This window comes from Homo sapiens, chromosome X, assembly GCF_000001405.40.
Source record: "Homo sapiens chromosome X, GRCh38.p14 Primary Assembly".
Taxonomy (NCBI): Eukaryota; Metazoa; Chordata; class Mammalia; order Primates; family Hominidae; genus Homo; species Homo sapiens.
In genome coordinates, this window is record NC_000023.11 from 37,837,926 (window position 1) to 37,849,823 (window position 11,898).

At 38.3% G+C, this 11,898-nt stretch overlaps 1 protein-coding gene across 1 annotated transcript, besides 1 other annotated feature; it reads right to left on the bottom strand.

Annotated features, from left to right (window-relative positions):
• Positions 911-9,646, bottom strand: DYNLT3 (dynein light chain Tctex-type 3). Its single transcript, NM_006520.3, has 5 exons — positions 9,556-9,646; positions 8,392-8,433; positions 3,857-3,980; positions 3,103-3,180; positions 911-2,726 (listed from the first exon to the last, which is right to left on the bottom strand). Exons 1-5 carry the CDS (start codon positions 9,583-9,585, stop codon positions 2,650-2,652), a joined length of 351 nt encoding a protein of 116 aa, NP_006511.1. The 5' UTR covers positions 9,586-9,646; the 3' UTR covers positions 911-2,649.
• Positions 9,310-9,419: a silencer, noted in NCBI's record as "silent region_20733". NCBI's record gives its function as "represses an Ori minimal core promoter by ATAC-STARR-seq in GM12878 lymphoblastoid cells {active_cell/tissue: GM12878}" and the evidence as "EXISTENCE:reporter gene assay evidence [ECO:0000049][PMID:35858748]".

The following is an 11,898-nucleotide window of genomic DNA, read 5'->3' on the forward strand; positions in this document are numbered from 1 at the left end:
ATCAAAAATAGGCAACTATTTTTACTTAAACTTTGAAAATATAATCCTGGACGTCTTAAGATTAAAGAATGTGATGATGAAAGCAGGTAACACTCAACTTGGAAAGAAGAGCAGAAAAGTACTTTCACTAGAGAAATCGTAATGAGAGGTTGCCATCATTTAGGCAGCATGTGGGTACTTTACAAACATAAAATTAGAGCGTTACAAAAATCCTTTGAATTCCCTAATTTTACAAACTTAAAGTCCTTAATTAAAAACAACAACACAATTGCAAGTTGACAAATAAGACAAAATCCCTTGCAAAAAATAATCATTAAAAACTAGTAGTTACAGAATATATTTTTACACTGATTTTTGAAAATGAAATTTTGTGTTAAAATCATAAAATAAAAAGCATAAAATAGAAGCTATTAATTATGTTGTAATGGTAAATACTGGATTTGGGCTGCTATTTTAATGGTATTTATTCTGCATAATATGCATAATATATCTATGTGGTCCCATATTCATTTATCCTATTTAGAATTGCTTTCTTTTTTCTTTTTTTTTTTTTTTGAGACGGCATCTTGTTTTGTTGCCCAGGTTGGAGTGCAGTGGCACGATCTCGGCTCACTGCGATCTCCGCCTCCCGGGTTCAAGCAATTCTCCTGCCTCAGCCTCCTGAGTAGCTGGGATTAGAGATGTGTGCCACCACGCCTGGCTAATTTTTGTATTTTTAAGAGAGATGCGGTCTCACCGTGTTGGCCAAGCTTGTCTCAAACTCCTGACCTCAAATGATCCACCTGCCTCCCAAAGTGCTGGGATTACACAGGTGTGAGCCACCACCCCCAGCATTTCTTCTATTTAGAATTTCTAAGAGCAAGCAGAATGTCATTTCTCTAACTATTAAATGATTATCCAGAAGCAAAAGTACAGCACAGGAAGATAATATTTATTATATTTTAACTAGAAACAGAGCAGATAGCAAGTTCACCAGGTAAAAATTTTTTTTCTTAAATTATGCTTAAACAACAATAATAAAAAACAAGTCTGCATGTATATTTTGGTCACTATTATGATCTTCCAGGGCACAAAAGCCAGCAGCATAAAGAAACATGAATAATGACTGAGAATTTTTGATGTGCCAAAAACAAAGATCACTGCATTAAACTCCTTTATTTTGTTAATATTATTCTTAAACATTGAACAATTATTAATTATTGTTATTTGGCAAAATATCAAACATGCACATAGTATTCCTACAAGAATATTGCCTTAATATTGTCAATATTAACGCTAAGCTTATTCCTCTCCAAAATTCAATGAGTTATGGTTCCGCTCTCTATATGTATTAGTGTTAGTGGTAATATGCAAAACTGATTTTGTTTTCAGGGTTAAGTAGCAGATTGACTTCGCATTTGGTGGCCAGCTGTGTACCCTAATTTTTCATCTATTTTCTTAATAAATTTAATTACATTTCATAAGCCCTGAGATAACGTGCTAAGGATTGTATACTTTTAATCTATACTTTATTCCACTCAATTTGAACCCCACATAATAAGTCTTTTAAGTTATTTACAGATGGTTGTAACTAAAGCAATGACAAAATTTACTACTTGTATAGGTAAGACTGATAATAAGGCCTTTAACTAAGAGTTGCATATTTTATATGCACTTTTAACTTGCTAGGAGCAACTCTTAAAATTACATCTATAATTCTGTCAGAAAGCAATAAGTGCTTTTCATTTTGCTTACTTCCATATGTGTAACCAGATTCACTTTTTTCCTCCCTTGTAAAACAACTACTTTCTTTTCCTTCCCCAAATATTAATACGTCTTCCAACTGAACAATTGCTAAAAGGAACTTAGCATTTGCACAGCACATTGACAACTATGGTGCTTAGCAGAGACATATGCCCATAATAGGCATCTGATAAATGTTTGTTCCACATGGAATGAGTGAATTGTAAGGCAGCTGTTTGAGTCATACACTGTTCATCATATACTGCAACTAATTTTATTTAACTAGGAAATTCAGTTTACCAGATTTAATTTACCCTCAAGTGTAAATCCAAAAATTTGAAATTAAAAAAAATTGATTTACTAATCCTCAGAAAAAGTAAACAAGTTAATCATAGTTGTTACTATACTATTAGTTGATAGAAAATTAAAAAAATTATTACTTTCCACTAAATATTAAGTACAACTGAGGGGAAGAAAGTTTAAAAAAACTTAAAAATGTTAGCTAATTCTCATCATTTTCTCCACATTTATCCTTGCAGCTTTTTTGTTCATATATTTATTCCTGTTAACTTCTCTAGCTGAAAGAGAATTTTATTATCTGAATGGAGTTCCCCATCACCTTAGGTACAAAATATTAGTGAAAAGCTGGTGTAAATATAAGATTGTATTTTCATGTCATGCCATATTTCTAAATTTATTTTTTGCTAGCATTAAATTTTTCCTATTTAAACGATGCTGTATAGAATATGAGCTAATCTGCCAATTACTATGATATTGCTTGCTTATAATATTCAGTTTTTGTTGATAGCTTTAAAGCATATTGCACGCTTTTCATCTAGCACACTAGTAAACAACTATTACTCTTTTTGGAAAGGATACACTGACAAATTCTTAAGTTAATGGCTTTAGCCCAACATTTTTAGTCAGTTAAAGAACAATAGCAATGGCAAAAACGTTGACAATACAGTTCATGGTCCGGTTCTCCCATCTTACGGTACAGGTTCCTGAAACACAAAAAAAGGATTTTGAAATACCAGCAAAACATAAAAATTATCAGAGAATATATATATATATATACACACACACACACACACACACACATATACACACACACACACACACACACACACACACACACACACATATATATATATATATATACACATACATTTTTCACATGTTTTAATATCTTATTTCCTTCAACCTGTTAAGTTTTCACATTTCATATCGGTCTGAAGGTATACTTGTTACTAGGTACAAAGCAATACTGTTGATAGTCTTTTCAGAATTTAATCAGAATTAAATAAGTACTTGGTTAAAAAGTGCAGTTTGACTTTGCTAAAAGTTGGATTTTGTGTAAATCAGCTTAAGATCTCTTACCATCAGATGTGGTATCCCAAAAACAGGAGCTGGCTGTGTGAAAGCCATATGCGCTCTTCTGGACCACTGCACAGGTCACTGCAAATAAAGTCACAGAATGAGGGCACTTACAGACAAAGGAAAAGAGAACCAAGGTCAAAGTGTGTGAGTTCAGAGCTCTACAAGCCGAAAACAAGACAAAAAACAAACAAACAAACAAAAAACAGAAAACAAAGCGTTCAGCAAATAGATTGAAAAAAAAATAAAAGACTCTCATCTTTATCTACCATCATGATTTTGACCCCACTGGATTCAGTTGGTTTTCTGACCATTGTCATTACCATTGGTGATTGTATTGCAGGAAAAATATCAGTCAAATTCTGTGCTTTGTACCATGGGCAGAATTCAGACACAGAAATGCAGGAAATACTCCACTTTATAAACAGTTGCTGTGTGGAATTACAGGTAAAGAGGCATGGGACTACCGAAAGAAACACAGTTGAGCTAAGGGGGGGTCTCAGTGGAAAGAAAGAACTGATGGAAATGCAAAGGGTGATGCTACCAAAGAAAAGTAGCTCAAACTGCCTTTGAGTAGTGAAAGATCTTCATCTTTTAAGTATTATTATAGATTATCTTTGAATGAGTAAATCAGAAGTCCTTTATACCCTTTTAGTATCCAACTTAAATGTCTATTGTACATATACCTTCTCAAAATTCAGAGAAAATCACAATGACAAAAGCAAGTGAACTAGTGAGGAAGGATACTGATACTTACCAATATATTTATAGGCTTTTCCCAACTTAACCAGGTGTGTTAAGGATTGTTCCACTATGCTTGCAGTCCACTGGTTGATGTTGTTGTGATTATAATCTTCACCACCTAAAACCCCATCTACACACTAAAAGGGCACAGAGGGCAGTTAATTTAGTCAGTAAAATTGTTCAAAAAGAACAATTTTTACACAAATTGCAGTAAAAATTTATTCAAAACATAAAATATACTTATAGCTCAATAAGGCATCTTAGAAAATATACACTTGGTAAACATTGATTATGCACTGTCTCTAATTGCTTAAGAGTTTTGAAAGAGTTTCCACTTGCATTATCTCACTCTATGAGATACTATGGGCCATATAAAGATAAATATGTCATGGCTTCTGTGTAAATAACTTAATCTAGCAGAGAAGCTAATAAAAAAATTCGAATATCTATAACACAAGGAAGACTAATGATAAATTATGTCATAAAAATTATGGTGGGGAAATTAAAAGGTGCTATCAATTGGTTAACAAGTAGCTTTGAAACAGCTGGGATTTGAACTAGGGCTCACATGCTAGAAACAGGATGGGACTAATTTAAAAACATAATTCTTATGTATACTAATTATATTCTCATTCATACTATGTGATTGTTTAGCTATGAAACAACAACTGATTATATTCTCATTCATACTATGTGATTGTTTAGCTATGAAACAACTAGCACACTTGCCACTGAAAGTAAATAAAGATGCTCTAGAAAGATAAAGTCAAATATCATAATTTCCCATAGTGCTTGATTTCATCCACTTCTGACACCTGATTAAAAGCACTGGCTCTAGTATCACAATCCTAGGTTTTAAGGCCTACTTTGACACCTATCTGCTATGTGACCTTTAGCAAGTGACTTAACCCCTTCAAATCCCTATTTTCCTAATCCTTATAGTAAGGATAACAGCATCATCTTATCAGGTTGTTGTTAGGATGAAATGAGACAATGAATACCAAGTGCTCAAACAGGACTAGCACAGAGTTAGCATATAAATAATGTTAACTACTATTATCATATTGCTGCTGTTATATTTTATATTTGAGTGATAAAGCCTGGATAATAAAGCACTCATTTAATTCATTTTTAGAATCTAACACACACATGCAGCTTCATTTACTATCATTAGACTCATTTAATTCATTTTTAGAATCTAGCTTAATAATACACACATACACACACATGCAGCTTTATTTACTATAATTAGACCACAGTAAAGATTTATGAAGGCACTAATACAAAATCTTAAGTTGGATAGTATAAAATCTTCACTAATGATAAAATATGAAAAGAGAAATGAAATATTTTAGCAAGGTTGACAAAAGTAATATGGCTCAAATTTTTCTCCTAGAAAGCTCAATAACATGACAAAGTAGGAAGGGTAGTGGCTTAAGGATCAGGGGAATAGAATTTTAATTCTGGCTTTACCATTCCTAAGCTGGTGACCTTTGGACAAACCTATTCCTCTCTTGAGATCACCTTTCCTTAAGGATAAAGTAAGAGCACTCATTTTTCTTTCAGGTTATTTAGTAGGACCACTCCAAGTTTTGCTCTAAACAGCAGAAAACACCATGGGGTGTGGGTGCCACTGTAAATAGCCCTGCTAATTACTATTAATTAACATCTAGCCTAATTAATTACATTAACATGGAGGCCCATGAGACAATGAGGTCCTTAAACAGCTCTGTATTCTCAGTGCTAAACTCAGGACCTGGGCACTTAGCAGGTATTCAACAAATGTTGTTGAAGCAATATTGGTTTTGATATACTCGCTGGGTATCTTAAATCAAATACACTTTAGACTAAATTCTAAGTCATTTGTAGCTCACTTTTTCTTCGACGATTTTTTGGGGAAGCAATTTCTATTACTAACACTAAAGAAAATGTATGCATATTACTGATAAATGGGTGTCTCTGAGTTCAGAAGGAAAAACATATTAGCATAGGGGCTCAGAGCAAGAAATCAAAGGAAAGAAAATAAGATCAATAAGAAAATAAGATCAGTAAGGAAATCAGAAATAACTGCTGAAATTATGTAATCATCTAGGAAGTGCTAAACTGTTTTAAAATGTTGCTCATTCTCAGGCATTTCCAATGTCTCAATGGAAATGTTTCAATGGCAGAAGAGGGTTGGTTCATGGGAAGAGGAAAGATAGACATTTAGCTGCAAGTAACCTGTAGCAAAGCTGAGTTTCTTTGCAGTCTCATATTTCATATAAAAATTCAAGAGAAGCTTGTTTTGACTACATAATGCATCAGAGTTTGTTTTTATTCAAAAATGTTTTCAGTTATATTATTTATATTACTTAACTCCCTCTCACAAATATTCAAGAAAAACTGATGTTCTAAAATGCATCCAGTGACTTCTAGCACCACCTAGCCACTGCCGAGTATGTATTTCCCAGTTGAAAAAGCATGATTCTTTTAATTTGATATAATATTAAAGTAACAGGCATATGGTTTGAAAAATCCAGTAGAACAGAAAAGCTTAGAATGAAGAGTTTCCTTCCCACCCTTTCCTTTCCCATCCCCAGTCCCATTCCCCAGAGGAAACTCATCAGTGTACAACTGTTTTTATTTCTTCCAAGGGTTACTTATGTATCTCCAAATAATGTTTATCTCACTATTTCCTGATTTATGAATTATAGGCAACATCCATGTAACTCCTACTATGATAGATGAAAATTTGGTTCCCTCAGACCACCCGCCCCCTTCTCTCAATATAGTGAAATCACGATTTTTTAACTTAAATATATTTACACTGTTAGAAACATGTTTCTTTTCCACTCTGGATGTTTTCTTCAACGCAGAGGATTGTTCTTTAACATTCCTGGCCTCTTGTCCTGTCAGTTATTCCTCCCCATGGAGGTGGAATGAGTTACCTGGTTGGTGGGTGATAACCATTGTTCTAACATCTCATTTGGGAGTCTCCCAAATGTGTTGAACTTGGGCTTTAGTTTCTCCTTCCCTCTCCACCCAAACCAATGAAAGGCACCAGCCTGAACAAGTGTTTCTCTCTGCTGACTCAAACTTTCTCTTGGATGACTCTTCCCAGGGCTGAACTGAATGGGAGTTAGCAAAACAAGGTACAATCATCAAACTGGTTTTTATCAATAATAAAGGTGGTATTTTGTTCTCTTTCTAATGGCTCTTTTTTCTTTTCATTTGGTTCAGAACTTAAGGAAGAAGGCACTATTTAAATGGAATCCCAAATAGCCCAGCATTCTTTCTTTTATGTTCCATCAACCAAGGACAGTCTTTCCTGACTTGCCACTTTGAAAACTAAGATCACTCCCTTCTCATTACCTCCACTCCCTCTTCCACCTCCCAGTTTCCCTCATTTGTGCTTTTACATTGTAAAGGTATTAAAAACCTTTGCTTTCTACTTTTAATAATTAAATACTCTCAGGCTACATAGATAGAATGCATAATTCTGAAGTATTCAAATATGGCAGGATTTTCAGGTGCCTGTCTATTCCTCTCAGACCTTGAGTTAATTCTAGCTGTGTAAGGCCAGACCTGGGTGTCAAAAAATACCTTTCCCACACTGTGGTCTGTATGTGATACCTCTAAAATAATGAACGGTCCCCTGCCAGAATTAATTCCCAAAGGTAATTTCTTTTCTATTTGCCTAAAAGGAGTTTCAAATATTTTTCTTAAAATTTTGATTCACTATCATATCAATGCTTAAAATATGTTAAATGATCATTTTTTCCAATTATATTGGGCAAAAAAGTGTACATGCCCAAAGGCAGATATTTCTAGGGCTTTTGTTATCTATTTTATACAATATACATATATATTATACATATACTTTACATTATAAAAGTTGACGTGTGTACATATATATGCGTACATATACTTTATAGCATTAACATTTAAAATAATGTTTGCTTTCTGGAATAAAAGTTATTTTATCCAAAAGACAGGGCATCAATTTTAAACCAGTTTTCTAGACTAAGAAAATCCTTAAGCATCTCTTTCAGAATAAGCCTCAAGATGCTGATAGCACACAACAAAATATAGAAGGACCCCTATAAAGAGTTAGTGGATAAATATTTAAAATCTTGTTCTTGGCCGGGTGTGGTGGTTCACGCCTGCAATCCCAGCACTTTGGGAGGCCAAGGCGGGTGGATCACCGGAGGTCAGGAATTCGAAACCAGCCTGACCAATAAGGTGAAACCCCGTCTCTACTAAAAATACAAAAATTGGATGGGTGTGGTGGCGGGCGCCTGTAGACCCAGCTACTCGGGAGGCTGAGACAGGAGAATTGCTTGAACCCAGGAGGTGGAGGTTGCAGTGAGCTGAGATCACACCACTGTTCTCCAGCATGGGTGACAGAGCGAGACTCCATCTCAAAAAACAATAAAATAAAATAAAACAAAACAAAATATTCTTCTTTTAACAGTAAGGTTTCTAAGTTTGTGCTGAAACTCAAAATATAGCTTTTAAAAATCTCCACCAGTGCAGCAAGCTTCAAGAGAAACAAAATGTATGACTCACCTCTTTGACAATATTGTGGGCTTCCTCAGCATTGAAGCCAACCTAAAGGGAAAACAAAAGGTAAAGCTGCTTTCAACACAGGCTTACAAGTATGACGCTACACAGAATATCCTAGGCTGGCCTAGACAGGTGTTAAAGTGTTAAAGGGCATCAGGTCTACAGAAGGGGCCAATCTTGCCCCTAAACACTTAAAAATACTGAATGCTTTCCCTACCTACCTCCCGTGAGGTCTGGGGCAGAGCCTGCAAGTCTACATTTTTTTTTAAAAAAGTGCTTTATACTGGTGATTCTAATGAACATCCTAGATTAAGAATCATTGTATTGTAAAACGTAGGAAATAAGCAAGAGGTGACTATGAGGATGTTATGTGTCATAAGAATATAGAAATGGTTTCAGCTAAGTGAGAGAATGAAGTGGTCCATATGAAGAGAATGCTTAGTAGACTATTTTCAATTTTGTTTTTAACTTATGCTAGGCAAAAATTTCTAGGCAAAAATTCCTTTCCCAAATTAAAGATTATGAAAATACTTGATAACTCAAGATTAATATCACTTTAGTACTATAAAGTGGTCTGACAACTTAGTCTTTTCTTTGGAGTCCCCATCAATAACAGGGAGATAACAACTGACATCATGGGTTTCTGGTGAGGGTTGGGAAAGCCTGAGTCAGTAAGCAAGGGCTCGTAATCCATAAAGCACCTCCTTGCCTAATCCTGGCAAGCATTACCGGGAGCGGGAATGGCAGTGCCACCAGGACCCCGAGACTCCGAGCCATGGGGGCTGCAGCACCCGCGCTGAGGAAGCCAAGGGACGGAGGCAGCAGCGGGAAGACCCGTTTTCGAGGCCCGCCCGGTAGGAGGGCGGCGCCCGTCACCCCATGCCCACTCCTCGCACCCAAGTCAGGCCTCGTCCTCCCAACCCTGCCCCGACCCCACCGTCTGATCCGCGCGCTCCTGGCCACCCCTCCCACCCCGAATCTCAGGACTTTGGGGTGGGGAGAACGGGTCGGGCGGGGCGGATCCCGGGCCCAGGGGAGAGGACCCGGGCTCGGAGGACGCCGCACCCCAACTCTTGGGACCGCCCTCGCTGGGAGACCACCCGGCAAGAGCCCCGCGCAGAGGAAGGCGGGAGTGGGGGGCGCTCCCAGGTAGCCAAGGGGCGGTACCTCGTCGCAGTGGCGATGGTACTCCTCCATGGTAGCGCCGGCTCTCCCTGGGGCGGAGCGACACGCCGGTAGAGCACCGCGGCCGCGCACTGGCCTCCGGGGAGGCCCCACCCCCGTTTATGGCCTAGGGCCTTTCCCTACGCAATCCCCGCCTTTGTGTCGCAGTGGCGTCACCTGGCAGCGCTGGGCGGGCTTCGGGCAACGCCAGGCGTCACTTCAGGCCACGCACTTTTTCCTCGCTTCCTCTGCCCTTTCTGGAAACAAGGGATGAATGTAAAGAACTGGGAATGGCGCCAGTGTGGATCAGATGGGGTGACCTAGTGGCAGTTAGTCTAGACTCCGCACTAGTGGTTGAGTGCCCACTGCTGTGATTACTTGCACGTATTTGTTCATTCACCATCATGTGGCACATAAATGTAGTTAATTTCGTGGTAAACCAGCCACTTTGATTTGTCCACTTACTAGCTATGTTACTTGGAAAAATTCACCTCCCACAGCTTCAGTTTTCTCATATGGAAACTTACCATCATACCTATTTCACTACTGGTTGTAAGGATCTGATGAGAAGCTGTATACACGGCTCCTAAAGTAGATGCTTCTCAACAAGAGAACAATGACTACATTTTAAAATAAATGTAGTAATTTTAAATTAGTAATTTTAAAATAAATGTAGTAATTTTAAATTAGTAATTTTAAAATAAATTACTAATTTCCAGATGATCCTAGACACTTCCTCAAAACCTCACAATAAGTCAGAGGAGTTAGTTCTTCCATCACTGCTTTTATCAAGATGAAACTGAGGTATAGAGAATTTAATTTGCCCAAGGTCATACAGCCAGTAGGGTGTAGAAAAGGGACTTGAGCTCAAGTAGTCTGATAGCAGAGCCCAAGCTCTTAACCACTGTATTACTTTCCTATTGCTACTGTAACAAATTACCGTAAATGTAGTGCCTTAAAGAAACACAGTCCTGTTCTCTTACAGTTCTGTTACCAGTGTAGGGTGTCCAGGTTCTTGGCTCTTTGAACAAAGAATTGGACAAAACGCACAAACAAAGCAAGGAAAGAATGAAGCAACAAAAGCAGAGATTTATTGAAAACGAAAGTACACTCTACAGGGTGGGAGCGGGCAGAGAAGCCGCTCAAGGGCCGGGATCCAGAATCTTCTCTGGTCCAAATACCCCCTAGAGATTTCCCATTGGCCACTTGGTGTGCACCCCATGTAAATGAAGTAGTGGCCCACAATCAGAGGCTGAAGTTACAAAGGCCACACTCCTATGCAAACGTCTGATTGGTTGCAAGAAAGCAACCATCAGAGGCTAAAGTGAAGTTACAAAGTTGCACTTCTATTCAAACAAAGATTTGGCCCATAATCAGTTTGATTGGTTGCAGACAGCAACCAATCAGAGGCTGAAGTGAAGTTACAAAGTTCCACTCCTGTGCAAATGTCTGATTGGTTGCTTTTTGCTCTTTGGTTGCAAAAAGCAACCAATCAGAGGTACTTTAAATTTCCCATCTGCCCTGCAGAAAAGGTGGGGATTTGCAAAGGGAATAGCCTCTGGTCCTTTTGTTACTTAGGCATGGAAGGTATGGAAGGTTAGGGTTTTCCTTTTTTTTTTTTTTTTGAGACGGAGTTTCACTCTTGCTGCCCAGGCCGGAGTGCAATGGCGCGATCTCGGCTCACCCACGGCAACCTCCGCCTCTCGGGTTCAAGCGATTCTCCTGCCTCAGCCTTCTGAGTAGCTGAGATTACAGGCATGCACCACCACGCCCAGCTAATTTTGTATTTTTAGTAGAGACGGGGTTTCTCCATGTTGGTCAGGTTGGTTTCGAACTCCCGACTTCATCGACCTCAAGTGATCTGCCTGCCTCAGCCTCCCAAAGTGCTGGGATTACAGGCGTGAGCCACTGTGCCTGGCCAGGGTTTTCCTTTCAATTTAGTTCTATGAAGTAAGCGTGAAACAGTTTTAAGTTCCCTGCCTCCTGACCCTATTCTCCTGCCTCAGTTCTGGAGGTCAGAAGTCTAAAATGGGCCCATAGAGCTGCATGCCTTCTGGAGGCTCCAAGACAGACTCTGTTTCTTTGCCTTTTCCAGCTTCTAGAGATTGCCTGCATTCCTTGGCTCATGACCCCTTCCTCCAAATTCAAAGCCAGTAGTATCTTTTCTCCTCTCTCGCTTCTGCTTCAAAGGAAGTGTGAGGCATCTCTATAAACGAGAGATGTATGACTCTTGCCCTCCTGTTTCCCTCTCAAGACCCTTAACTTAATCACATATGCCATGTGTCTTTTGCACTCTGTATCATATTCACAGATTCTCAGAATTCAGATGTGGACAAATTTGAGGGG